Below are 24,798 nucleotides of genomic sequence, written 5' to 3'. Positions count from 1 at the left end.
TCGAAGCAGTTGAAGGCTTACATTTAAACATTCTCCCAGGAACAGTGGGTGAAGTGAAAAAGGGGTGAGGAAAGGGCCCTGGAGATCACCAACATTTAGGGGTGGAGGTGAACAGATGAGAAGAGAGAGGCAGAGGTGCAGGAGGAGAAGCCAGAATGGGGGTGTCAAGTATAAAGAAATGGGTAGCGTCAAATGCTTCAGAGGTTAGAGAAAATGACAGGAAACTCCCCCTGTTAGATTTGACATCTAGAAGGCTGTCGGTGTGGCCAGGGTGAGGTCAGTGGAGTAGTGAAGGTGCGGGTTTCCGGCTGTTGGAGAAACCTCTTCCACTAACTACATTGCACTCTGAGTTACCAACTGGCATGGTCCTCCCCCCATTTCACACGCACGCTACAGTCGCCCGTGCGCACTCGTACACACCAGGTGGCTAACAGGTACGAGGCGTTTCCGGACAGCGAGCGCAGAGCCCCCGCGCACGCGCCTCCGAGCCGGCCTCTTCCGCCGCAAGTCCCTCCCCAAGCCTGCAGAGTGCGCTGCGTTTCGATGAGCCGGGACGTGGCGCCGCTCTAGCCAGCGCCTGGGCTCTGTGGCGGGCGCCGCAGCTCCGCGTCCCCCGCGCCTCCTCCCAGCGCAGGTGGGTCCGCCCGCGGGGGGCGGGGGTGCCCGGGAGCCGTGGGACGGGCGGGTAGCGGCAACCTTTGGGGAGCAGAGTGGTCCCCAACGCCCAGGTGCCCCGGCTCGCGCTCTGGCCCGGGCGAATCGGGCTATAGGAAGGGCCACACGGATGGAAGTCCTAGTCCGGGTGCTCACCTCTTGTGGAACGTGCAAAGCCTGTCCCAGGACCTCTTTACACTCTGGGGGTCTCTGCCCAGGCACGCTTGCTGCTTCCGGACACAGCTGTGGGCGGAGCTAGTAGGGGCGGGGCTACGTGATTGACACTTCTCTCCTCAGACTTCAAGGGCTACCACTGGACCCTTCCCCTGTCTTGAACCCTGAGCCGGCACCATGGTGAGAACCCTGAGCCCAGCCCTTCACCTCCGCAGGCCCGCGCCCTCACCCCCAGTGGCAGTGCCATGGTTGCCCCGTATGAACCTAGGGCTCCACAGTGTGGGGTTTTTGCAGGTCAGCTTCTGCAAGGCAACCTGCACTCTTCCAACCCGTTCATCCTTGTAGCACGGACGCCTGAAGGTGAAGACGTCAGAAGAGCAGGCGGAGGCCAAAAGGCTAGAGCGAGAGCAGAAGCTGAAGCTATACCAGTCAGCCACCCAGGCCGTATTCCAGAAGGTGGGGCCCTCAGAGGTAGCCCCGACCCCAAGTAGCTCCCTTAGTATAGTGCAGAGGCCAAGAGCTGGTCCCTAGAGTCAGACTGCCTAGATCCAATTCTGGGTTATCTCACTTATAACTGTATGACTTTGGGCAAGTTGCTGAATCTCTTTGGGCCTCAGTTTGCTCATCTGTAAAATGGGGCTAATAATTGCACCTACTGCATAAGGCTGTTGTGAAGATTAAATGAGAGAATACCTGTAAGGCCATAAAGCATGGTTCATAGTACCTGTTGTATAATGTGGGATTCACAGAATATTGGATGGTTTTAAGTTTACGTTATTTAGTCCTGTAGTGGGAAAATTATATGATCTCTAACCCTGCCACCTATCTTCTTAGCGCCAGGCTGGTGAGCTGGATGAGTCCGTGCTGGAACTGACAAGCCAGATTCTGGGAGCCAACCCTGATTTTGCCACCCTCTGGAACTGCCGACGAGAGGTGCTCCAGCAGCTGGAGACTCAGAAGTGCGTAGGGATTCAGGATCTCAGAAGACTGCCCTGGCCCTGCGCCTGCACTGCCTGGGTCTAGGGGTGGAGGAGAAATGGGGCAGCCAGTGGCATAGATGGAGGATAGTAGGGGGCTGGGTGCAGAAAGTGAGGGGTGAGCTGAGGTTGACTGTAGGAGAGCCCTGACCCCCCCCTTCCCTTCTGGGTACAGGTCTCCTGAAGAGTTGGCTGCTCTGGTGAAGGCAGAACTGGGCTTCCTGGAGAGCTGCCTGCGGGTGAACCCCAAGTCTTATGGTACCTGGCACCACCGATGCTGGCTGCTAGGCCGCCTGCCTGAGCCCAACTGGACCCGAGAGCTGGAGCTCTGTGCCCGTTTCCTGGAGGTGGATGAGCGGAACTGTACGTGGCTGCAGATTCTGTCCCCACAGCCCTCACCTGCCCACATTCTGGTACTGGGGCCTCAGTAAGGCCCAGAATGGGGAGGGATATCCAGGATGGGTCCACTGAGCTGGTGCTGAAAGGGATGTTGGAGCCAAATGCATCCTCCGTGGAGTGCACTGAGGTGTTTCTAGGGGTTCCTGAGGGGACTCTAGGGGTCCCAGCCAGGTAGCTCCTCTTGCCCTGCCTCTAAGATATGCTGTCACCTCTCCCCTCCAGTTCACTGCTGGGACTATCGGCGGTTTGTGGCCACACAGGCAGCCGTGCCCCCTGCAGAAGAGCTAGCCTTCACTGACAGCCTCATCACCCGAAACTTCTCCAACTACTCTTCCTGGCATTACCGCTCCTGTCTCTTGCCCCAGCTGCACCCCCAGCCGGATTCTGGACCACAGGGGCGCCTCCCTGAGGATGTGCTGCTCAAAGGTAACCAGGGTCAGGGATGCTCAGGAGGACTCTGCAGTGCCACCCTTCCAGCCCCCATGCCTGACCCTGTTCCTGAACCTGTCACTCAGGTTTATTGAGCACCTACTTCATGCGTGGCTCCAGGGGTGCTTAAGAATCAGTCCCTGGCTGAAGGAAGCTTAAGTGTCTGATGGGGAAGATAAAACTGACATACGTAGCCCCTGTGCAAGGACAGCATATAAGTGAGACTGGGGGCTGGAAGTACTCCAAGGAGAGGGTAGGGTGTTGGAGTGGCCAGGAGCTCACCAGTGTCCTGACCACAGCCCCATGCCTCCTGGAACCCCACAGAGCTGGAGCTGGTGCAGAATGCCTTCTTCACTGACCCCAATGACCAGAGTGCCTGGTTTTATCACCGTTGGCTCCTAGGCCGAGGTGAGCAATGAGGAAAGGGGCTGGGTGTTTAGCGCTTAATAGGAATGGGAGAGGGTTTAAAGAAATCTGACACTGTCTCCCCGCAGCTGACCCCCAGGATGCACTGCGCTGCCTGCATGTGAGCCGGGACGAGGCCTGTCTGACTGTCTCCTTCTCTCGGCCCCTCTTAGTGAGTCCTGCAGCTTTTGTCAAGAGCACTGTGGGACTGTGGGCCTGGTGCTGATGGGGCTGAAGTCTTTGTCCTTTGTGCCAGGTGGGCTCCAGGATGGAGATCTTGCTGCTCATGGTTGATGATTCTCCCCTGATTGTGGAGTGGAGGACCCCAGATGGCAGGAACCGGCCCAGCCATGTCTGGGTATCCCAGGATTGGTGGGGCAGAAGTTGGGGTCTGGGGCAGGGCTGGGTGGGACAGTCAAAAAAGTGGTTAGGCTGGGGCATTTCCTTGACCCAGTACTCCCAGCTCTGTGACCTGCCTGCTGCCTCCCTCAACGACCAGTTGCCCCAACATACATTTCGCGTCATTTGGACAGCAGGCGATGTCCAGAAAGAATGCGTGCTTTTAAAAGGTGATGGAACCTGCAGCCTCCACCCCTTGCAGCAGCCCCCATCACTCTTTTCCTCTCAAGGGTGCACCCTCCAACCACCTACTCTTTCCCCAGGCCGCCAGGAGGGCTGGTGCCGGGACTCCACGACAGACGAGCAGCTATTCAGGTGGTGATAGGGAAGCACAAAACAAGGAGAGGGGCTCTGGACTCTGGGCATCAGGCAGCCAGGGCAGGAGGCTGGGGCCTCAAGGAGCTGTTTCAGTCTAGATACTGGGAATGTTGACCAGTGCTTCAGGGCTGTGGGCCTCAACTCCTCCCCACCCTGCCCACCCTCAGGTGTGAGCTGTCAGTGGAGAAGTCCACAGTGCTGCAGTCTGAGCTGGAATCCTGTAAGGAGCTGCAGGAGCTGGAGCCTGAGAATAAATGTGAGGCCCCATTCCGTGAGAGTCTGCTCCCAGAGCCCGCTGAGGAAACCCCTTTCCAGTGTGGCCCTGAGAGGACAGCAGGAAGGCCTCAGGAGGATGGGAGCAGAGGAGGTTCCAAGAGAAACCCTCCTTTTCCCTGCCCTCTCCTCAGGGTGCCTGCTTACCATCATCCTGCTGATGCGGGCACTGGACCCCCTGCTGTATGAGAAGGAGACCCTGCAGTACTTCCAGACCCTCAAGGCAAGTTCTGTCTGCAGAACAGACCAGGGGGAGGCCCAGCAGGCAGGAGGCAGGCAGCTGACATGCATACCCTGCCCACCTCATCCACTCCAGGCCGTGGACCCCATGCGGGCAACGTATCTGGATGACCTGCGCAGCAAGTTCTTGCTGGAGAATAGCGTGCTCAAGATGGAGTATGCCGAGGTGCGTGTGCTGCACCTGGCTCACAAGGTATGGGCTGCCATGCATGCCTTCCCCTGGCCCTCATCCCGCTGGCCTCCCCACGTCCCTGACTTTGCCCCCAGTCTCAGGTGCCTTTGTGGACTTCCAATCAAGATAGAGTTCATCCCTGCCTCCCAGCTTGCTCCTCTTCCAGGCCTTTCTGTCACTCAGCCCATTCTTCTTCTTGCCACTCACTTTCAAATCCCGAGTCACCAGGACCTCCTTGTGCTGTTTCTTCCCCAGGCTGGTCACAGCTTCATCTTCCTTCAGAGTGACCGCTAGCCCACTCCTCCCACACATTCCAGCACATCTCACCCTGGAGCAACCTCCAATACCTGAAGGCCAAATACTTTCCAGAGATTCCTGAGAAGTTGTCCAGGCTCCACTTTCCTAGTCCTTCCCAACACATTAGTTTTATCACATCACCACAGCCCACCTCCATTCCTGCCAAACTCATCTCTGCCTCATCAGGACCAGTCCCCATGGGGGACCAGTCTTTGTTTACCCAGCACCCTCCACTGGCCCCTGTACCTCCGAACTCCAGGCCTCCTCCTCCTCACCCACCCCACTGGTTACCCCACTCGCAGCACTGTCTGTCCCACGTCATGTACTGCTGTGGGCTGTAAGGTCAGCTTCCCACATGCTCCCATCCTCTTCTTGGCTGGGGTCCCCAAGGGCCTGTGGGGCACAGAGGGCATGTGCCTAATAAATGCTGGCCGAGGACCCTCTCCCAGGTCTCCTGGGAAGCCCATCACCTCCTTCCTCCCTTCACCCCCCAGGATCTGACAGTGCTCTGCCATCTGGAACAGCTGCTCTTGGTCACCCATCTTGACTTGTCACACAATCGCCTCCGAACCCTGCCACCTGCACTGGCTGCCCTGCGCTGCCTTGAGGTAAAGTACCCATGTCTCCGTCCCTGTCACGGGTGGTTCTTTTCCTCTTCCTCTCCCTCAGAAGTCTGCCCATCCTACAAGGAGATGTGCAGGACCCTCCACCCCGAACAGGTAACTGCGTGCCTTCCACCTCCATCACGCAGCCTGACCCTGTGAGCCCCTCTGTGCTCTGTGGACCCGTCACCCTGAGCTCCTCAGTTGCTGAACCATCCCTGGCTGACAGCGCCTGTCCTGCCTCCCTGCCCTCCCTGCCCCCAGGTGCTGCAGGCCAGTGATAATGCCATAGAGTCCCTGGACGGCGTCACCAACCTACCCCGGCTGCAGGAGCTGCTACTGTGCAACAACCGTATCCTTCCTTCTGGGTGCCTTTCAGACAGTGGGTAAAGTGAGGTGCCACCCTGGGAAGGGACAGACAGCAGGCAGGGTATGTGCCACCCTCTTGCAGGGCAGGAGAGAGGGGGCTCTGTAGTGTGAGTTGAAGGGGGAGAGCCTGGGGCTGTCGGGCTATCACTGACCTGCACTGGTGGAGTTGTGCGGAGTGGACTTCCTCAAGTCAGAGTTCACAAATGGGCAGCCCGCAGCTGTTCTTCAGGTCTATGTAGTTTTTTGAAAATCAGGAACTTTCATACTTTAAAAAACATCTAGAGTTCTAATTCCTCTCTTAAAAATTGGAAGTTAGAGCAACCTTACACTGGTATTTTCACTCAGCAGCCCTTGGTCATTGCTGAATAGTAAATGTCTCTTTGGACCAGGCTAGATTTCCACCTTATCATACCCTGCACCACTCCCCTGATACTACACCAGCTTGCGTGGGGTGTTGCGGCTCATTCTTTCCTGGCTGACCCTGTGGGTAGGCATTTGCAGTCCCTGCCTAGAGCCTGACTCCCTCCAGGGAGCATATGAGATGCCCATCAAACAGACTTCCAGGCAGCAGTCCCCAGCTCTTGAGGGTACACAGGAGCAAATAAATTGGGAGGAACCTGCCAAGCTTTCCTTGACTCTCCTGAACAAGGCCTCCAGCAGCCTGCAGTGCTCCAGCCTCTTGCCTCCTGCCCCAGGCTGGTCCTCCTCAACCTGCAGGGTAACCCGCTGTGCCAAGCGGTGGGCATCTTGGAGCAACTGGCTGAACTGCTGCCTTCAGTTAGCAGCGTCCTCACCTAAGAGGCCCTGCCCCCTACCCTTGCCCTTTAACTTATTGGGACTGAATAAAGAATGGAGAGGCCCTCTCAGGCTACCAAGCTGTTGTCGCTGCTATCACTACACCACCACCTTCATCACTTTTATTTTTTGAAAAGAAAGGGAAGAGACATGGGGTGTTGCCAGCTCCTTCTTTCTGCGCCATCCTATTGTTTCCTCTCAGAGAGAGCCAAGGCTTCAGTGTTTGGGGCAGAATTCAGGGTGAAGGCTGAGCTTTTGTTTACCTTCTGGTTTGGGGTGGGGGCTGGGACTGGGTCTAGATTCCAAGCAGGAATAGGGCTTGGGCTCAGGTTCTGGCTCTGGTAAGCTACAGAGCAGCTGTGAGTTTCTCCAGCTGGAAGCATCATACAATTTTTTCCCATGACCCCTGCACCTTCCACATGTTCCCCCTGCCCTGGCCCCCATTCACCATAGCTGGGGAGGCTCAAGGGCTCCACGTTCCCAGGAATGGGCCAGGGTGTCCTTGCTCCGTCCTGCCTGAACAACACTATCGGTCCCCATGAGTAGCATTCTACGGTTGAAGTACCTTTGAGAATACTTGATACCATTTGATCCTCACAGAGTCTCAGGGATGAGATTTTTAGGCCCAGTGTACTGATGAGGAAACTGCTGTTGAGACTTGCCCAAGGTTCTTGGCCGGAGCGCTTCAGCACTGAAACCAAAGTTGTCTCTACCCTTGGTCTAGGATTCTAGACTCATGTTCTTGCTTCTGTATTGCTAAGGAATGGTTGGGCAGCGGCCTGGCCTCAGCTCCTTGAGGTCCTGAGCTGAGTGTCTGCTCCCATGGTGTCCCCCCACACATACCATGTACACACCTTGTCCTGACCTAGAGAGTCCTGAGTGGTGGTGGGGGGAGGGGACTGGCTCAGGGGTTAGGGCACTGACTCAAACCTGGCTGGGTGGGGAGAGAAAGATTGATTAAAGCTAGGGAGAGAGTGTGACAAAGGCATCCTACTGGTTCTCTGGGATCTGCCTGGGCCCACATGTGCTCACACACGTCCGGACAGCCAGGGCCCTGCCCCTTCCCGTATCTGCAGTGATGCACAAATCCGCAGCCCCTGCACAAAGCCCTCTGGCTGACCTGCCTGGAAGTTTATATCCACTGGTGTGTCTACTGAGGGTGTTGGAGGTGGGGCACCTGCCCCCACCCCCGGGCAGGTTCTGGTGCTTGGAGCTGGACAAGAAAAGGCAGTGTGGGTGTGGAGGGCTCCCTGCCAGTTCCTGGGGCCTCTCTGTCCCCACTCCCCACGGCACCTCCCTGCCTGATGCATCACCAAACAGCCCCTCCTGGATTCTGTTTCCTTGTGTCTTCTTGTCGGCCTGTTTTTACTGTCTTCTGCTAGGCGGCCCATGGGCAGAGCTGGGACACTAGTGGGAAGGAAGGAAAGAAGGAAGAAGGCCCTGGCTGACGGGCCTGAGGACAAGACCCAAGGAGAGCCTCCCTGAAGATGCCTAGCCTCCTCCTCTCTACCTTGGGATCGCCTTGGTGCCATCCTCAGTGTTTCCCCAGTGACGGGGTGGAGTAAGGATGCACACAGCACAGGTGCCTGAGCCGGTTGGTCTGGATTCCCAGGAAGAATTCCAGGTTGGAGAAAAGGGAATCCTCTAGTCCAACTGAGCAGAGACTCCTCTCAGTGAGAGAAAGGTACTCTGTACCCCTGGAAGGGGGACTCAGTTCCCACCCAAGCCTGAGTGGAAAGGCCTAAACATCCCCTAACCCCCGAGGCTACAGCGGGGGTGGGGGACGTGAAATGAGATTGCTCCTACTCTGATCTCCCTAATCCCAAACTTGAGGGCAGCTCACTCATGCCTGGGGCTGTAGAGCAGCTGAGAAAGAAGGGACAGACTTGGGGGTGGAGGGAGTCAGAATATCTGGTAGAGCCAGCAGGTCAGGGGTTAGCTGGTGGAGCCAGTCTGAGGGCCTGGCTGCTGATGTCACCAGTCTGCAACCTGGGATCCCAGGACCTCCCTGGGCAGGATGAGTTCCAGGACCAGGCCCCTGGGCCAATTTCATAGGGCTGAGCCTGGCTTGGGCTGCACAGAACTCGGCAGCAGGAGCCTGTGAGAGCAGAGGTAGGCAGCCTAAGCTTGGGACCAGAAGGTCGGCCAGACAGGGCTGTGGGTGGAAGGGCCTGCCTGCCCCACTGCCCTTGCAGCTTCTTCATCCGGGAGAAGGGGCTCCTCACATGCCCAGTCTGGTAGGAATCAGCCTGGTGCCAGGGGCCATCACAGCGGTGGCTCCCACCAAAGCCCAGCCTAAGCCCCCAGACCTCACCCCTGCTCCCTCCCTAGCATCTTCTCCCCATTTCCCGCCCAGAGGCCTGGCCTCTTCTCTCCGCCCCCTACAGCAGTTTGGCCCCTCCCTCCCACATAAGTCACTTACCAGGTCTGTCCCTGCGGCATCCAGTCTGTGGGTCCTGTCCCATCCATCCTGACCTGTTCCATCTCAGCCCCAGGACTCAGTACTGCGGTTGCCAACACTGCTGCCAGGTGAGGGGCTCCCACGGGTACTGTGGTGCCGAGTCCAGGCGGCCCACACTATCAGAGGCCGTGCCTGGATCCAGCAAGGTGGGGTGTGGGCCAGCTGTGTACCTGTCAGCCCCAGCTAGGCTGTTCCCAACACCAAGACTCTGCTTTCCCTGTGCACAGGCTCCGGGCACCTGCCATGCCCTACCCCTCCTGGCAGCCCCAAGTGGGGTCTTCCCTGACTTGGGAATGCCAAGGACCACAGGCCCCGGGGTCACTTGTCTGTCTTGTGAGGAACCTTGAGTTGGGGGATTTCTGCTAAGAAATGAGTTCTAGAAGCTGTCAGTGTTGTGCACCTCTAGACTGCAGAGCTAGCAGGTGGACGGACCAGGCCCAGGGATGCTGGAGCACTCTGATGTGTGTGCAGCTGGGTCTTGAGGCTGGGACAAGTGTCCATGCAGGGAACTATGTGGATTTCCTGGGATGGATCGTTGAGTGGGTTTCTTCATTGGGCAGTTTTTCGGATGTTGTTTGGTGGGGGTGAGGGGAAGGCTTTTCTCTGCAGCATGAGAAGCTTCTCTGGGTGAGTCTGAATGGTCTTCGCGGAAGGTCTCTGGATGTGTCTGGAGAATCTCTGGGCCAAGGTGGGATTGTTTCGGTCATCGGGTGGGACTGAATCAGCTGTCTGGATGGAGGGTTTCTGGGTCAACTGGCTGGGACTACCTGGGTTAAGGAGCCACCCTGCCTCTTCCTAACAGGCATGATGGATGGGCCACGTTCCGATGTGGGCCGTTGGGGTGGCAACCCCTTGCAGCCCCCTACCACGCCATCTCCAGAGCCAGAGCCAGAGCCAGACGGACGCTCTCGCAGAGGAGGAGGCCGTTCCTTCTGGGCTCGCTGCTGTGGCTGCTGTTCATGCCGAAATGCGGCAGATGACGACTGGGGACCTGAACCCTCTGACTCCAGGGGTCGAGGGTCCAGCTCTGGCACTCGAAGACCTGGCTCCCGGGGCTCAGACTCCCGCCGGCCTGTATCCCGGGGCAGCGGTGTCAATGCAGCTGGAGATGGCACCATCCGAGGTGAGGCCGGTCTGTCCTCCTCAGCTGAGAGCTAAAAGGCTTTAATGGGACCAGAGACTCAGCCTGGCATTTCTGGGGGGGATAGGAAGCTAATGATAAGGGCCTGGGCTCCTCATGGGGCTTCACTGACACGGAGCTGTGTCCTTGCAGAGGGCATGCTAGTAGTGAACGGTGTGGACTTGCTGAGCTCGCGCTCGGACCAGAACCGCCGAGAGCACCACACAGACGAGTATGAGTACGACGAGCTGATAGTGCGCCGCGGGCAGCCTTTCCATATGCTCCTCCTCCTGTCCCGGACCTATGAATCCTCTGATCGCATCACCCTTGAGTTACTCATCGGTCAGTGGGGCTTGGATTGGGACGGGTGAAGGCCCTATGTTTGGTGGGGAGAGGCTGGCATTAGGGTCAGAGAGGTCTTTAGGCTCCTCCCTGCCCCACTCCTCACCTCTGCCAGATAAGGCAGGTGCAAGTGTGTGGGTGTGCCCCTGGGGTTGTGTCTCAGAGAGGGTCTTGGTGTTGCAGTTTTTCCCAAGCCCATCCTCCTCAAGCCTCCTGGGGCATCGGTCTCAGAGTACTCCTCTTCAGGGCCTGCCTCGGTGCCTCCTTCGGCATTGCTGCTCTGTCCTTTGTGCATCTGTTCTCATTCCCCAGGATGTGGCTGGTTCTCTCTTCTATCTCTCTCTCTCCCTCTTGCCTTCCATGTCCCCCATCTCTGCCAATTCTGTCTCTCTCTGTCTCTGTCCCTCTGTCCCCATGACCCAAGGCAGGTGCCTCCCTTACCGCGTTGCTTGGTGTAGCTTGACTTCTCAGGCTGGTGATTATGCTGCTGCCTGGGGCAGGTGACTCCTTTTACCCTTTGATTAGGGCCTAACCTTGCCCACCTCATCCTTTAATTTCCCAGGAACCCCTACCACCTCCACCAGGGATGCCCTGGGCTCTGGAAGCTGCAGCCCCAGGAAGCAGGCAGGGTTGGCCTTCAGGATCAGGACTGCCCTTTCATACGGGGCAGGTGGATCTGCCCCTCCAGCCCAGGCACTGTGATAGTCAGGCAGGCAGAAGGTGACAGGAGCCCTCGTCTCTCCTCCCCACCTCAGAGTTCAGTGTCAGGGGAACAGGTTTGGGATGTTGGACTGCGGCACTGCCCTAACATGTGGGCAAGCATTGGGTGGAGACAGAGCTGCTCTAAGGGAGACTGTCAGAGAATAAGGTGATGGCCCAACGTAGGGACATACACAGTGGCTCATACACATTGTGGGTGGGGCCGGGAGAAGTCCCAGGCTCCATCCCCTCTCCTCAGGGAGGCCTTGCCAGCTAATTGCTGATTTCCTACTCTAGGAAACAACCCCGAGGTGGGCAAGGGCACGCACGTGATCATCCCAGTGGGCAAGGGGGGCAGTGGAGGCTGGAAAGCCCAGGTGGTCAAGGCCAGTGGGCAGAATCTGAACCTGCGGGTCCACACTTCCCCCAACGCCATCATCGGCAAGTTTCAGTTCACAGTCCGCACACAATCAGACGCTGGGGAGTTCCAGTTGCCCTTTGACCCCCGCAATGAGATCTACATCCTCTTCAACCCCTGGTGCCCAGGTGAGCAGCTGGGGTCTGGAGCAGAGGGTAGATGGGAGGGAAAGACAGGGAAGGGCTTCCTGCCCTCGGATGTGGCGGGGTGCCTAGGTGCCTGACCCCAGGAGAAGCCAGCCTCCCATTGGGCAGATGAGAGGACCGAGGCCTGGTGCAGAAAGGTGGCCAGCCCAGGGTCACACAGCCAGCCACACCTCTCCTGGCAAAGGCCCCTGGCTACAGCCAATCTCCTCCACCATCTGTCATGCTCCCCGTGTCCTCCCACAGCAGTCCTGTCAGGCTAGGGGCATCCCCGCATTTTCTTCTGTGGACATGAGTCCTGCAGAACTGGCCAGAAGTAGGTGAGGCCCAGGGAGAGAACTGGAGGGAACCAGTTTTGTGTGTTCTGGGGACACAGAGGACATTGTGTACGTGGACCATGAGGATTGGCGGCAGGAGTATGTTCTTAATGAGTCTGGGAGAATTTACTACGGGACCGAAGCACAGATTGGTGAGCGGACCTGGAACTACGGCCAGGTATGGTGCGGCTGGCCAGGGTCACATACACCCAGAGGAGCTGGGGTGGGTGTGGGGGCTGGGGTATTGGAGCAGGGTGCTGGCCTAGGGTTCAGGCTGTCACCTCTGCCCTCCATCCCTCCTTCCAGTTTGACCACGGGGTGCTGGATGCCTGCTTATACATCCTGGACCGGCGGGGGATGCCATATGGAGGCCGTGGAGACCCAGTCAATGTCTCCCGGGTCATCTCTGCCATGGTGAGCACCCTCACATCTCTGAGTCCTACTGTGTGTGTGCCTGCTGCCTCGCCACACCCCCACCCTCCTCCTGCCCTTTCTGGATTCCTCAAGAACCCCCAGCCCTGTCCCTGCCCTCGTAAAGGATACTTCAGGAAGGGGTCTCCCTCCTCTTCTCTCCCTTGCCTGCCCCCCACCCCGCCTTTCCTGGCTCCTGTCCCAGCTCCTGTGGAATGTAGGGCCAAACCCAAAACTTGGCACACCCAGGATTCACATTCCTGTGTCAGAGCCCGGGTGGGAGGGGGGCAGATGGCTGAGGGAAGGGCTGGGTGGAGCTCAGGCTGGTGTCTGGATCCTGAGGCATTTAGGGGTAAGGGGTGGTTGCAGGATCGGGGCCCGGCTGGTCCCCATGGACCACATGGCAGGTCCTGAGCCCCTCCTCCACCTCCGCCCTATCTCATCCTGTCCTGGGCAGGTGAACTCCCTGGATGACAATGGAGTCCTGATTGGGAACTGGTCTGGTGATTACTCCCGAGGCACCAACCCATCAGCGTGGGTGGGCAGCGTGGAGATCCTGCTTAGCTACCTACGCACGGGATATTCCGTCCCCTATGGCCAGTGCTGGGTCTTTGCTGGCGTGACCACCACAGGTAGTGGAGGGACTGGGACAGGAGTGGCCCGGGCCCTACAGGGAGAAGGGAGGAAAGCCAGGCTTACCCAGCCCTGCCCAGATGTGGCTACAGTGCAGGGTGCAGGCGGGGGTGGGTAATAGGCTGGCCTTAATTATCATTAATTAGTGTTAACAACAGAGAGAGGCCTAAGGGAAAGGAGGGAGAAGGGACAGGCAAGGACTGAGCCAGGCAGGTGGCCTAGCTTCCCCTGACCCCAAGTGCTCTGTAGCCCAAAGGCCTTGTGGCCCCCGTGGCCCTGACCCTGGCAGTCTATGCCCAGCTTGGCAATCCTAGTTGCCCTTCTCCCCCTGATACTCCTGACACGATGCCTCACTTGCCCCCAACCCATGCCTTGAACCCCAACCTTCGCTCCTCCACAGTGCTGCGCTGCCTGGGTCTGGCCACCCGTACTGTCACCAACTTCAACTCCGCCCACGACACAGACACATCCCTTACCATGGACATCTACTTCGACGAGAACATGAAGCCCCTGGAGCACCTGAACCATGATTCTGTCTGGTGAGCTGGGGTGGACTGCCCATCTGTGCTGAAGAATGGTGACCTGAGCTTTGGAGGTGGAGGGTGGGCAGGGCTGGGGAGGCTGGGGAAACTGAGGACTCCTGACCCTGGGGCTCAGACCCAGCCCCTCCTCCATGTCCATCCAGGAACTTCCATGTGTGGAACGACTGCTGGATGAAGAGGCCGGATCTGCCCTCGGGCTTTGATGGGTGGCAGGTGGTGGATGCCACACCCCAAGAGACTAGCAGTGGTAAGCTGGGCCCCCCACTCCCCACCATGCCCCTGCTTATCTCCCCCACCTGATTAACACAGTCCAGAGTGTCAGTGCTGGGCCGGGCCGGAGAGCCAAGCCATGTAACCCCGCGGCTTCTTAAACGGGTTTGTCAGCTGAACCACCACGTGGATGTTAGTTTATTTTTACCATTCTATATAACTCTCTATTTGCCTACATTTTACTTATTTATAATGGTTTATTTTATTTATAATGGTTAATATACAAGGGAGGTTCAAAATTCAAAAGCTGGAAGAGTATTCAGAGAAAGAATTCATATTCACTATTCTTACTTGCTTTTTAACTTACATATCCTGGAGATAATTAACTGAAGGACCATTTTAAAGTCATTTTTATAAGTAATACATGCTTGGAAGGAAAAAAAAAGTATAGAATTGAACAACACAAAATGTAAAGCTTCCCTATTCTCTCTCAGGAGGTATTTGGGTTTTTTTTCAAAAATATTTTTAAAGTAAATTTCTAGGTTCTACTCCAAACCTGATACATTAGACTTTCCCAGGATAGATGCTAACAATGTATATTTTTGAAAGTTCTTCTGGTGATTCTGACGATCAGCCGGATTTTTTGACCCACTCCAAAGGGTGGCCAGAGAGATGGAGTGACCTCCTCTGGGGCACAGAGTGGTAGGTCAGTGACAGAGCAAGTCCAGTCCTTTTAAGCACATACTCTTGCTTTCAACGAGTTCCTTCCTGTCTGTTCCATTGCTCACTGTGAGTTATATATACAGCATAGAAAAAAATCAGGGCTCAGATAGGTTCAAAGAAGAAAATAGCCCTTATGACCCTGCCTTAATATATAATTACTGTTAATATAACCAACGGGTCTCTTTTCTGTGTCCACATACATGTGTTTCTGCAGAAATTAGAACTACCATACACTCTGTTCTCAAACAAACCCCCACCCCTTCTTACCGTGATACCCCAGCCCCAGGCCACCAGGCCTGCCCTGCCAGCTACCTTCTGTCCAGCCTCTCCCTTACCCCAGGTCAGAGAGTCCTCCCTAGCCTACATTCCTCCCCTGGCCTCTTCCCAGTGCCCTCCCTCTCACTCAGATATGTGAACACAGCCCCATGAGCTGTGCAACCCGGTGATGCCTGTGATGCTGAAACAGCCTGTCCCAGACGCTGGCAGATCTGAGCTCTGGCCCCCAACTCTGGGAAGTGGTGGGGTGGACATCAGGCAGGGGGCTCAGGGCCAGCCAGACTGGGGCTTGATCCCAGCCTGATCACTTCTCAGATGTATGCTCTTGGGCAAGCACCTCGAACTTTTAGGCTTTGGTGGTTTGGATGTAATTTGGGGTAATAGATACCATATATGGTGATTGGGAGGATTAAATGAGAAATTCTGTATCTGAAGGGACCAGCAGCATGCCGGGAGTGTAGCAGCTACTCAAAAAGTCTGAGCTCCTTTCATTCTCCCTGCACCACCTGTCTTGTGAGATCCTGGCATGAACTTCACCTTGCTGTTTCCCCGTCTGTAAAGGAGTGTGTAGTGTTATGTCTTGTCTAAGATTCTTTCCGGTTGGATGGTACTCACTTACCACTCTGTCCTCTCTTGCCAGGCCTCTTCCTGTCAGCCTATCTCTTCTAGACAGCCTCCTGAGTATGATAAGGGCAGACTCTATTTCCCACCAGCTCCCCCCAGTAGAAAGGGCAGCAGGCTGCAGAGCTGAGGGTTGTTCCGCATCTCTCTGGAATGGTGGTGGCGGTGGTGTCCTCGCTCTCCCAGCCAGCAGGCAGGGCCACTGTGGACTCTGGGTTGGTTATGATAAAGGATGGGGCGTCCTGTCCTCTGGGGGTCACAGATGGTGGACATCCAGTGTCAGCCAGCCATGAAAGAGTATGTCAGGGACTTGGTTATCAGGCAGGCTGGTCCGCACATCTGTACCCTGCCCCCATCCTCCAGCAGAGCAGCCTGGGCTGAGGAAAGCAGATTGAGAGCCAAATGGAGCCGCTCTCTCTTTGTTTTCCATACCTGTGTTGCACTGGCTGTCAACTGACCCCCAAGTGTTTGGGTCAGGGCTGATGACCTTGTTCCAGAGGCCACCAGGCAGTGGGACCGGGCCTGAGTGGGTGGGGCTGGGGCCCTGTGTGGACCTTACCCAGGGTCTGAAGAGCCCTCTCCGCCTTCTCAGATCTCTTGCCTCTGTCCCGCCTCACTCTCTAGGCATCTTCTGCTGCGGCCCCTGCTCTGTGGAGTCCATCAAGAATGGCCTGGTCTACATGAAGTACGACACGCCTTTCATTTTTGCTGAGGTGAGGGCTGGGCTCCAGGTGCCTTCTTGGGCTTCAGTCATGGGTTCTCTGGTCCCAACTTCACCGCTGACTGACCAGCTCTGCGACCCGGGGCAAGTCACTCATTATACAAGTCAGTTTCCTCACCTGTAAAAGGGGATAATCAAGGCTGCCTTGCTTCCTATACTCGGGATCAGAAGAGATAACGGGTATGAAACTGCTTCACTAGTCGTAAAGTCAGCCATTGAGTGTGAGGGATTACTGATATTGCCAAAGTGCTCTGCCAGGAGCCTCCCAGACCAGCTTCTTCCCTGCACTCTGGCCTCGTCTGGCTCGTCTTGGAAAGTCTCCCCTTGGGCTCTGCCAGGAAGCTCCCACCCTTGGGACCAAGCCCTGTCCCATAGCTCCTGGGATCAGGGGAAGGAGGCCGGGAGTCAGGCCACCCTCAGACCCTCTGGCTCACTCATTCCTGCTCACCCCCACCCCCCACAGGTGAATAGTGACAAGGTGTACTGGCAGCGGCAGGATGATGGCAGCTTCAAGATTGTTTATGTGGAGGAGAAGGCCATCGGCACACTCATTGTCACAAAGGCCATCAGCTCCAACATGCGGGAGGACATCACCTACCTCTATAAGCACCCAGAAGGTACCATTCCCCCAACCCAGCCAGCTCTGGGCCCCACAACAAGTGTTCCTGCCAAGTGCTTGGCCACCCACGTGGGAATTGGAACCTCACCCTTGACCCTCAACCCCCAGGCTCAGACGCAGAGCGGAAGGCAGTAGAGACAGCAGCAGCCCACGGCAGCAAACCCAATGTGTATGCCAACCGGGGCTCAGCGGAGGATGTGGCCATGCAGGTGGAGGCACAGGACGCGGTGATGGGGCAGGATCTGATGGTCTCTGTGATGCTGATCAATCACAGCAGCAGCCGCCGCACAGTGAAACTGCACCTCTACCTCTCAGTCACTTTCTATACTGGTGTCAGTGGTACCATCTTCAAGGAGACCAAGAAGGAAGTGGAGCTGGCACCAGGGGCCTGTAAGTGCTCCTTACCCAGCCCTGCCCCCTGGATGGCTGGGCACCTCAGGGCTGTGGACATGGAGACCCCAGGAGCAGTGGGGAGTCCCTGGGGGAAGCCTCATGTAGGGAAGCAGGCCTCAGTGACGCCATGCCTCTTCTCCACAGCGGACCGTGTGACCATGCCAGTGGCCTACAAGGAATACCGGCCCCATCTTGTGGACCAGGGGGCCATGCTGCTCAATGTCTCAGGCCACGTCAAGGAGAGCGGGCAGGTGCTGGCCAAGCAGCACACCTTCCGTCTGCGCACCCCAGACCTCTCCCTCACGGTGAATGCAGTTTGCTGGGGCATGAGGGGTGGTCAGAGAGTGAAGGCCAGGGGATAAGGACATCAGAGGTGGGCGCTAAGCCAGCAGCAGGCTGGCCTGATGAGCCTTTGTAGGAGAAGGTCAAGGACCGGCTCTGGGGCCTCAGTTTCCTCATCTGTAGCATGGGATCTTATGTCTCTGGTTCTGTGACAGCCTTTATTGAGGAATAGGTTGGAGTTTCTTCTCTGACTTCTGGGGAATCTTCTCTCAGGAGGATAAATGTGGGACTCGGGGAGGTTTTGCTTCTAAGCAGCTTCCCCTCTCTGGTGCAGTGTACGGTCCCCGTGTGTTTGGCCAGGGTCTCTGACGTGGGGGATGGGCCTCTTTTTCTCTCAGTTACTGGGAGCAGCAGTGGTTGGCCAGGAGTGTGAAGTACAGATTGTCTTCAAGAACCCCCTTCCCGTCACCCTCACCAATGTCGTCTTCCGGCTCGAAGGCTCTGGGTTACAGAGGCCCAAGATCCTCAACGTTGGGTGAGTCTGGCCTCTCCCCCTACCCCTGCTTCCACTCTGGCCTTCCCCACAGGCTGCCCTGGCTCCCAGCTTTGCTCCCTCTCTGTCTGGACAAGTATGTTCTGTCAGGACCCAACCAAGCAGGTTGGGGCCAGCTAGCAATACCTCCCGGCCCAGCTCAGTCCCACCAGCCTTTAGGGAGACCTCTTGGGCACCTGGTGCTATGCCATGTCCTTGCCCTGCCTCACTATCTAATTAGGGAGCAGAAGGCCCACATAGGAATCATTAGTAACTCATTGCTAATATTTGCCCAGCACTGAAGAATTGACCAGGCCCTTTCAGGAATATTATCTCCTTTGGACACAAAAACTCTAATTTAAGTACATTAGAAGGCCAGGTGTGGTGGCTCACACCTGTAATCCCAGCACTTTGGCAGGCCAAGGTGAGTGGATCACTTGAGCCCAGGAGTTGGAGACCAGCCTGGGCAACATGATGAAACCCTGTTTCTACAAAAAATTTTTAAAAAATTAACCAGGTTTGGTGCTGTGCGCCTGTTGTCCCAGCTACTTGGGAGTCTAAGGTGGGAGGATCACCTGAGCCTGGAGAGGTTGAGGCTGAAGTGAGCCATGTTTGTGCCACTGCACTCCAGCCTGGGCGACAGAGTGAGACCCCGTGTGTCTCTCTCTCTCTCTGTCACACACACACACAGACACACACACACACACAGAGACACACACACACAAGCGAAGTTTTGGAATCCTAATGATACGGGTTCAGCTCTAGCACTTACTGGCTATATGCCCTTGGGCAAGCGACTTCTCTCCTTCAAGCCTCAGTGTTCTCACCTGTAAAGCAGGGATAGCAATAGCCCCTGGACCTAGGGTTGTTTAGTGCACTGCTTGGCACAAAGTTAGTGCTCCATTGGTAGTTGTTATTTTTATTATTGCCATTATTACCCCCACTTACAGATGGGGAAGCTGGCGGTCACATCTCATATGGTCTCACAGCTCGTAGGGGGCAAACTCTGCTCTTCCCACTGTGGTGCATACCATGCACAGGCTCTCAAACTCATTGTTTGTTTTGTGCCATGAGGGCCAAGTAGCAGTTCCAGAGGAGAGAACTCCATCCCTCAGGCCCTTACCCAGCCCGTCTGGGCCTGATCCTGGGCTGGGCAAGCCCCTGGGTGTAGTGAGGGCACACACATGCTGTGTTCCTGGGCCTGCGGCTGTCATCTTTGATACAGACTTACACGTGCTGCCCCGTCCCCGCCTAGGAAAAGCACGGAGGGAAAGCAGAGCAGGCCAGAGCCTGGCCTTCTAGATCAGCCTTCTGGGACAGGGGCAGGCTTCATCTTCAGACAGCGAGTTCCTGAGAAAGAACAATGGCTTGGGGTGGGGAAACTGAGGGGAGGAAGCAGAGGACCCCCTGCCCACTTGCCCACCCCTCCCTCACACACAGCAGCTCTCCTGGTGGTGGCTGCCACCTTCGCCATTAGGCCAAAGCTGAGAAGGAAGCTATGTTGATCTTTGCCCCAGCCTGGGCCCCTGGGAATGCTATGATGTGTCACAAAGTAGGGCTTTCCTCATGTCACCATACCATGGTCTCTGGCAGCTCAGTGAACAGAGCCTGAACCCCCCGGGTAGCCTGCTCTGCTAGTCTTGCCCAGCAGGCATCTCTTACCCACACCCCCACCATGGTGGGGGGAGGTTCCTCGTCCTAAGGGATCCGCAGAGCTGGACTTGCCTCAGCAGCCCCACCAGGCCTTTGCCTCTTGGCCCTGCCTGGAAGTAAGGAAAGGGCCACTGTGCTGAGTGTTGGGGGACCTGTTTCCTGTCTTTAGCTGTAGGGTTTATGTGAGTCTCCCTACAGTAAAAGACAGGGTTGGATGATGGTTTCTTAAGGCAGATCCTCCCTGGACAGTCTGTGGCTCCTTAGCTGCTGTGAGCCCAGACCAGAGCCTCCAGTACAATTGGGAGCCTCCAGGGGGACATCTCTGAGCTGTTGGTTCAGGTACCTAAGATTCCAAGATGGGTGTACTTTGCCTCTCATTCGCACATCAGAGGCTGTGGCATGGAACCCCATTATAGCATAAGGTGTGCCACCCCCCTGTGGTGACTGGCCACTTAATAAACATTCCAGAACTCACTCCTCCAGATGGCTGTTGTCACCACCAAAAGCAGTCACCAGAGAGGCTGGAAGTCTGTTCCAAACCCTTCCTGGGAATTTCCCTCAGAGTCTGAATCATATTCTCTAGAATGTCCTCAGAGTGGTCAGTCTGCCTTCTTAGGGGTAGATTTGACTTTGCAGAGAAACCTGAAGTCATCAAGAGCTAAGACTAATTAATAAGATAAGTGAACAAGTGGGTAACTGCCCTTTTCCATCAGAACCGAGGCATGCTGTGGAAGGAAGGACAGGCTGACCGTGGCATCACTGAGCACACGCCTGTGTGTATGGTTTAAATGGCTCTGAAGAAGAGTCCAGGAGGAGTTTTAAACATGTTTCAAGCCCAGGCAATACGATTGAACAAGTACACAATTGGACAATGCTCGTTTCGACGTCTAAGTTCTGGTGTCCTTGTTGGGGAGTTGGTTTCATGACCCACACTCAGTTCCAGGAACATCCCAGCTTTAGCAGATGGCTTGTACTCAGCTTCAGCTCACAAAAGAGGTGTGGTAAAGTCCCCCACCTCACAATGAGACCAGGGGAGGGAGAGATCTTGACATTTCCACCTAGAAAACAGTTTCTCTTGAAAATAATCCGTTACTGCAATGTAAAGGTTACTTTCTGAAATATTATAGTTCAATTATGGTATAGAGTAAATAGACTTCTGAGGGCTGGTCTGAGCTTGAACAACCTTGAATCTTGTATCTATGAAAAGTTAGCAAAAATTAAGAGTGCAAATTTGTAAGCAGTCAGGACATAGCCTAGCCATTAAGTTATAGACTTAATTTATAGACTTCCTATCATACTACGTTCTATTATATATCCCTGCCTCCCTCCTTCAGAGAGCTCAGAAACACCTTCAAGATAATCAGATCCCACTCCTCCTTTTACTTTCACTTCCATTTTATGACCCAGAAAGTGAGGAACAGAGAAGTTAAATAGCTTCTCATAAGCCTCACAGCTAACAAGTGGTAGAAAAGGGAGTAGAGTGGTCCAGGGAAACCCCTCAGAACCAGGTTCCAAGCCAAATGCTTTGCCCTGAAAAAAACTCATCCTTGGAGTTAGGGATGTTGGCTCATTCTCTTAGAGGACAATAGTTAATGCACAGGTTCTATGTCTGGAAAGGGTCCCCAGCGGCAGGCTTGGGTTGAATAGGGCACCAGAGGTAAGGTTTAGGCAAAGGCAGGAAGGACAAATTCCCACAGGCACGAGCAAATGCAATATAAATGCAGTCATGTTCAGTGTATAAAATGAAACGTGCAGATTGCTGGAGGAGCTCAGAGAAGGGTGAGTTTCCTTTTCCTAGAGGCAGGAGGTGCTCAGGGGAGCCGTCACTGAGGAAGTGGTGTGCCAGGCCTTGGAGGAAAAGTAGGCCTTCACAAGGACACCCAGGGTGGGGAGGCAGAGCTGGGTGCTCATTCCACACAAGGCAAAGACTGCAAAGCATGACTGTGGAGGTGAGTCTGGGGAAGAAGGCATTCGGTAGGGCTGCTCAGCAGGAGGAATGATGGGGGGTGATGAGGCTGTGCAAGTAGCAGGGACTGGGTCAGAGTGAGCCTGTGTGTCAAGTTAGAGAGCCAGGATCGTGTGCCACAAGCACCAAAGGAGCACTAAATCCTTGAAGGATTTAGTTCACCTCTGAGTGGTTAGCAGAACAGAATACAAAAGTGGGATGCGAGGCAAGGAGTCCCGTTAGAGGACTAGTGAAATCATGATTCCCAGGGGAGGTCTGGGAATCAATTTTTCAGAGGCCCATGTGGAAAGGAGAAAATGAAAACACTGGTTGTGTGTGTGTGTGTGTGTTTGTCCACCCACCTCTCTGTCTCTCTCACACACACACACACACACACACACACACACAGAGACATAAGGGTTTATGTCCATTTAAAGATGTCTGTTGTCTGTTCTTGGGAAGGATTTTCCTTTTTTTTCAAAGATAACATCCTTCTAATGTTTTGGTGTGTGAAAATGCTCTTTTCTCTTTGGAACGACGATCATAGCAGAGAGTGATTACTTTTCTTCAACCTATGCTCTTGTCAAAACTGAAAGTATTTGAAAATATTGTGTTGGGCCCCCAAAGTCTCATTTTGAAGTTTTCTTGGTTTTGGAAACCCCAGGTGAGATGAGGATGTTCTGTCTGGGGCAGGAGCAGTGGTGATGGAGGGGATGGCATGAGAGGCCTCTGCGGTGGCATCAGCAGTCTTTGTCCAGGTGGATGTGGGAGCAGGGAGGGAGGAGTCCCAGACGATGGGGAGAGTTCCAGCACAGGCAGCTGGTGGGTGGCTGCTGAGCTGGCTATGCAGAGGCGCCCTGGGGATCCTGGTCTTGGGTGTGGAAATTTCAGGTAAGCCTGGAATTGTCTGAATGGGTCCACCTCCTGCTTCTTCCTCCTGACTGCCCTGGATCAGCTCTTACTCCCCACTCCACCCCCAATTACTCCAGGCCCATGACCTTGTCTCTGCCCACAGGGACATTGGAGGCAATGAAACAGTGACACTGCGCCAGTCGTTTGTGCCTGTGCGACCAGGCCCCCGCCAGCTCATTGCCAGCTTGGACAGCCCACAGCTCTCCCAGGTGCACGGTGTCATCCAGGTGGATGTGGCCCCAGCCCCTGGGGATGGGGGCTTCTTCTCAGACGCTGGAGGTGACAGTCACTTAGGAGAGACCATCCCTATGGCATCTCGAGGTGGAGCTTAGCCCCGTGCCAGGAGCAATGGGACTGGAGTCAGATGAGCAAGGACATTGCCCCAAGATAGGGGCACACTACAGAGCAGCTCCCCAGGAGCTCAGGTGGGGAGTCCAGGGCTCCCGGAGGGGGAGTCCAGGGCTCCCGGAGAGGGAGTCAGTCTTCACTTGCACTGGGGGAACAGATGCTAATAAACTGTTTTTTAATGAAGCTGCTGCTCTGTCCATCTTTCAGTCCATGCCACACCAAGACGGATGGAGCCATGGTTTGTCCCAGGGCTGCACATGGCCTTCCTGTATCATCCACTGATAGGGGCTGGTGTCCCTCACCAGAGAGAGGGAACCACAAGGGAAGTTGAGGCTCAGAGAGACAGAGTCGATACTCTTTGTATAACTCTCTTCTACCTGGAAATTTTCCTGTGGGTGAGTTTTGGAGGATTTTGGCTTTGGTTTGAATGAAACTGTTCCCTTACCTCAGGGTTTTTCAAGTGTAGTCTCTAGACCACTTCTATTACAATCACTGAAATGTTTATTAATAATCCAGATAGATGGGCCCTACCATAGACTTCATGTGTCAGAATCCCCGTGGAAGAGGCCCAGAACAAACTCACCAAGAGTTTGACTCCTGTGCACACTGAAGATCAAGAACGATGCCCTTTCATTTTTCTTCTCAGCTGTTCTTTTTTCTGCATTCCCACTGCCTGCATTCTTCTTGGGCTAGCAGTAGCCATGAGATCATGTACCTGATATTCTGGTCCTGAACGCATGTCTTCTTGAACCTTTAAGTTTAGAAGGCTTTCAAGACAAAGGGCTCATGGGGCAGGAAAAAGAGAGCTAAAATTGAGCTGTTCCTACTAGCTGTAAACACATGAACAAGGTGCACACCTTGAGGCATCAGTAGTGTAACATGCACAAGAAGAAACAAGCCCTTCCCTTAAGGTGCTCCTGTCCAGTGGGGGTGACAGACATGCAAACATTCTAAATACAGTAAATGCGTATGTCACACTTACCAGGAACCAGGCTCCAAGCACTTTATGAATTCATTTAATCCTTACAATAACCTTATGAGATAGGTTCTGCATGGTAGTAGAGGGATGTTCAGGATGCTGAGGGGCCCAGAGAACTGTGATTCTGCCTGGGCTGATACAGAAAGTCTTCATGAAGGTGATTACCAGATGACCCATGAAAGATGAGAAAAAGTCAAGTCCAAGAGGCAAAGGACAGAGGAATCACCCAACACGTGTAAAGCACAGACATGTGAGACAACACAGTATGTTTGGAAAATGCAGACAGCTGGATGAGGACTGGCATATGGGTGCATGATGAGTACAAAGTGGCAAAGGATGTGCATGAAGAGGTAAGCTTGGGCCAGTTCATTAAAAATCCTTTTGCCATATTTAGGAGTTTGGACTTTCTTCTGAAAGTAAGGGGGAGCTTTCAATTAGGGATGATATGATCAAGTTTTGCATTTCACATGATTCATAATGAAAGCAACATAGAAAAGAAATTAGAGGGGTTGGGCTGGAGGTAGGAAGATAGAGTCCTCTTGGGATGAGAGATAGGAGAACCTGAATTAGGGTAGAAGCAGTACGAATGAAAAAAAAAGGGTGGGTTTGAACGTTGTATAGGAAATAGAACTGATTAGACTTGATAACAGATTCAATTTGGAGAGGAGGGAGGGCAGAGATAAGGGTGGTGGCCTGAGTTTCTGACTCATGGGTGCCACGAAGAGAGGTGCCATGCACAGAAATTCGAAGCTCAGGAGGAAGACCATATTATAAAAGGGAAGGTAGACCAGGCACGGTGGTTCACGCCTATAATCCCAGCACTTTGGGAGGCCAAGGCAGGTGGATCACAAGGTCAGGAGTTCGAGAGCAGCCTGGCCAATATGGTGAAACCCAGTCTCTACTAAAAATACAAAAAAAAAAAAAAAATAGCCACGCATGGTGGCACATGCCTGTAATCCCAGCTACTCGAGAGGCTGAGACAGGAGAATTGCTTG

At 54.8% G+C, this 24,798-nt stretch overlaps 3 protein-coding genes across 8 annotated transcripts in view, besides 22 other annotated features; 2 read left to right on the top strand and 1 right to left on the bottom strand.

Annotated features, from left to right (window-relative positions):
* NOP9 (NOP9 nucleolar protein) overlaps positions 1 to 918 on the bottom strand; it is a 37,922-nt gene extending 37,004 nt beyond the window's left edge. For all 5 annotated transcript variants that reach the window (XM_047431054.1, XM_047431053.1, XM_047431052.1 and 2 more), the window contains exon 1: positions 811 to 918. The gene's annotated coding sequence lies outside the window, so the exon portion shown is untranslated. The remainder of the gene's footprint in view (positions 1 to 810) is intronic.
* Positions 177 to 256: an enhancer, noted in NCBI's record as "active region_8205". NCBI's record gives its function as "activates an Ori minimal core promoter by ATAC-STARR-seq in GM12878 lymphoblastoid cells {active_cell/tissue: GM12878}" and the evidence as "EXISTENCE:reporter gene assay evidence [ECO:0000049][PMID:35858748]".
* Positions 347 to 446: a silencer, noted in NCBI's record as "silent region_5634". NCBI's record gives its function as "represses an Ori minimal core promoter by ATAC-STARR-seq in GM12878 lymphoblastoid cells {active_cell/tissue: GM12878}" and the evidence as "EXISTENCE:reporter gene assay evidence [ECO:0000049][PMID:35858748]".
* RABGGTA (Rab geranylgeranyltransferase subunit alpha) lies at positions 494 to 6,583 on the top strand. Of its 2 annotated transcripts, NM_182836.3 has the most exons (17): positions 524 to 634; positions 952 to 1,008; positions 1,174 to 1,284; positions 1,663 to 1,787; positions 1,981 to 2,168; positions 2,427 to 2,630; positions 2,958 to 3,041; positions 3,128 to 3,210; positions 3,295 to 3,396; positions 3,502 to 3,607; positions 3,701 to 3,752; positions 3,923 to 4,011; positions 4,163 to 4,251; positions 4,345 to 4,461; positions 5,232 to 5,345; positions 5,604 to 5,691; positions 6,358 to 6,583. In NM_182836.3, the coding sequence occupies exons 2-17, from the start codon at positions 1,006 to 1,008 to the stop codon at positions 6,504 to 6,506; spliced, it is 1,704 nt and encodes a 567-aa protein (NP_878256.1). In that variant the 5' UTR covers positions 524 to 634; positions 952 to 1,005; the 3' UTR covers positions 6,507 to 6,583. The 2 variants fall into 2 exon arrangements, with proteins under 2 accessions (NP_004572.3, NP_878256.1); NM_004581.5 differs by having other exon boundaries at positions 494 to 1,008.
* Positions 517 to 806: a silencer, noted in NCBI's record as "silent region_5633". NCBI's record gives its function as "represses an Ori minimal core promoter by ATAC-STARR-seq in GM12878 lymphoblastoid cells {active_cell/tissue: GM12878}" and the evidence as "EXISTENCE:reporter gene assay evidence [ECO:0000049][PMID:35858748]".
* Positions 997 to 1,206: an enhancer, noted in NCBI's record as "active region_8204". NCBI's record gives its function as "activates an Ori minimal core promoter by ATAC-STARR-seq in GM12878 lymphoblastoid cells {active_cell/tissue: GM12878}" and the evidence as "EXISTENCE:reporter gene assay evidence [ECO:0000049][PMID:35858748]".
* Positions 6,439 to 8,956: a promoter, noted in NCBI's record as "2.5 kb fragment from +18 to -2500 relative to transcription start site asserted in PMID:10321835". NCBI's record gives its function as "responds to phorbol ester and drives expression in epithelia" and the evidence as "EXISTENCE:reporter gene assay evidence [ECO:0000049][PMID:9361026]" and "EXISTENCE:transgenic organism evidence [ECO:0001131][PMID:8537408, PMID:9361026]".
* Positions 6,439 to 9,769: a biological region, named in NCBI's record as "TGM1 promoter region". NCBI's record gives its function as "regulatory_interactions: TGM1".
* Positions 6,769 to 9,769: a promoter, noted in NCBI's record as "3 kb fragment from +831 to -2170 relative to transcription start site asserted in PMID:10321835". NCBI's record gives the evidence for it as "EXISTENCE:reporter gene assay evidence [ECO:0000049][PMID:10321835]".
* Positions 7,339 to 9,005: a promoter, noted in NCBI's record as "1.6 kb fragment from +67 to -1600 relative to transcription start site asserted in PMID:10321835". NCBI's record gives its function as "drives expression in epithelia" and the evidence as "EXISTENCE:transgenic organism evidence [ECO:0001131][PMID:15061870]".
* Positions 7,418 to 7,438: a protein binding site, noted in NCBI's record as "AP1". NCBI's record gives the evidence for it as "EXISTENCE:protein binding evidence [ECO:0000024][PMID:10974538]".
* Positions 7,418 to 7,438: a protein binding site, noted in NCBI's record as "AP1". NCBI's record gives the evidence for it as "EXISTENCE:protein binding evidence [ECO:0000024][PMID:10974538]".
* Positions 7,418 to 7,438: a protein binding site, noted in NCBI's record as "AP1". NCBI's record gives the evidence for it as "EXISTENCE:protein binding evidence [ECO:0000024][PMID:10974538]".
* Positions 7,430 to 7,458: a protein binding site, noted in NCBI's record as "TG-A". NCBI's record gives the evidence for it as "EXISTENCE:protein binding evidence [ECO:0000024][PMID:15061870]".
* Positions 7,545 to 7,570: a protein binding site, noted in NCBI's record as "TG-G". NCBI's record gives its function as "promotes gene expression" and the evidence as "EXISTENCE:protein binding evidence [ECO:0000024][PMID:15061870]".
* Positions 8,016 to 9,769: a promoter, noted in NCBI's record as "K3 region from +831 to -923 relative to transcription start site asserted in PMID:10321835". NCBI's record gives its function as "responds to negative regulation by retinoic acid and calcium" and the evidence as "EXISTENCE:reporter gene assay evidence [ECO:0000049][PMID:10321835]".
* Positions 8,455 to 8,478: a protein binding site. NCBI's record gives the evidence for it as "EXISTENCE:protein binding evidence [ECO:0000024][PMID:12192491]".
* Positions 8,461 to 8,469: an enhancer, noted in NCBI's record as "site II". NCBI's record gives its function as "promotes gene expression on basal promoter" and the evidence as "EXISTENCE:reporter gene assay evidence [ECO:0000049][PMID:8537408]".
* Positions 8,468 to 8,485: a protein binding site, noted in NCBI's record as "CRE". NCBI's record gives the evidence for it as "EXISTENCE:protein binding evidence [ECO:0000024][PMID:10974538]".
* Positions 8,468 to 8,485: a protein binding site, noted in NCBI's record as "CRE". NCBI's record gives the evidence for it as "EXISTENCE:protein binding evidence [ECO:0000024][PMID:10974538]".
* Positions 8,842 to 8,867: a protein binding site. NCBI's record gives the evidence for it as "EXISTENCE:protein binding evidence [ECO:0000024][PMID:10886517]".
* Positions 8,944 to 23,007, top strand: TGM1 (transglutaminase 1). The gene is made up of 15 exons (NM_000359.3): positions 8,944 to 9,032; positions 9,767 to 10,087; positions 10,238 to 10,426; positions 11,423 to 11,671; positions 12,063 to 12,181; positions 12,310 to 12,417; positions 12,872 to 13,046; positions 13,448 to 13,586; positions 13,733 to 13,836; positions 16,044 to 16,132; positions 16,604 to 16,757; positions 16,868 to 17,149; positions 17,297 to 17,457; positions 17,833 to 17,969; positions 22,580 to 23,007. The coding sequence occupies exons 2-15, from the start codon at positions 9,769 to 9,771 to the stop codon at positions 22,806 to 22,808; spliced, it is 2,454 nt and encodes an 817-aa protein (NP_000350.1). The 5' UTR covers positions 8,944 to 9,032; positions 9,767 to 9,768; the 3' UTR covers positions 22,809 to 23,007.
* Positions 9,566 to 9,761: a promoter, noted in NCBI's record as "p194 fragment from +628 to +822 relative to transcription start site asserted in PMID:10321835; P2 promoter". NCBI's record gives its function as "responds to positive regulation by retinoic acid in HaCaT cells" and the evidence as "EXISTENCE:reporter gene assay evidence [ECO:0000049][PMID:10321835]".
* Positions 12,970 to 13,667: an enhancer, noted in NCBI's record as "H3K4me1 hESC enhancer chr14:24727660-24728357 (GRCh37/hg19 assembly coordinates)". NCBI's record gives its function as "activates a minimal SCP1, AML or CMV promoter by ChIP-STARR-seq in primed H9 embryonic stem cells {active_cell/tissue: H9 hESC(primed)}" and the evidence as "EXISTENCE:reporter gene assay evidence [ECO:0000049][PMID:30033119]".
* Positions 22,252 to 22,401: an enhancer, noted in NCBI's record as "active region_8203". NCBI's record gives its function as "activates an Ori minimal core promoter by ATAC-STARR-seq in GM12878 lymphoblastoid cells {active_cell/tissue: GM12878}" and the evidence as "EXISTENCE:reporter gene assay evidence [ECO:0000049][PMID:35858748]".

The sequence above is a fragment of the Homo sapiens genome, chromosome 14, assembly GCF_000001405.40.
Source record: "Homo sapiens chromosome 14, GRCh38.p14 Primary Assembly".
Classification (NCBI taxonomy): Eukaryota; Metazoa; Chordata; class Mammalia; order Primates; family Hominidae; genus Homo; species Homo sapiens.
Note: the sequence above shows the minus strand (reverse complement) of the source record. Positions and strands in the feature narration are given on the sequence as shown.

Coding starts and splice junctions, on each gene's coding strand:
- RABGGTA (NM_004581.5), top strand. Junction 1,788..1,980: donor CAGCAGCTGGAGACTCAGAA/GTGCGTAGGGAT, acceptor TTCTGGGTACAG/GTCTCCTGAAGAGTTGGCTG. Junction 4,012..4,162: donor GCTGGAGCCTGAGAATAAAT/GTGAGGCCCCAT, acceptor CCCTCTCCTCAG/GGTGCCTGCTTACCATCATC.
- TGM1 (NM_000359.3), top strand. CDS start 9,769: ATGATGGATGGGCCACGTTCCGATGTGGGCCGTTGGGGTGGCAACCCC. Junction 10,088..10,237: donor TGGAGATGGCACCATCCGAG/GTGAGGCCGGTC, acceptor GTGTCCTTGCAG/AGGGCATGCTAGTAGTGAAC. Junction 10,427..11,422: donor CACCCTTGAGTTACTCATCG/GTCAGTGGGGCT, acceptor TTCCTACTCTAG/GAAACAACCCCGAGGTGGGC.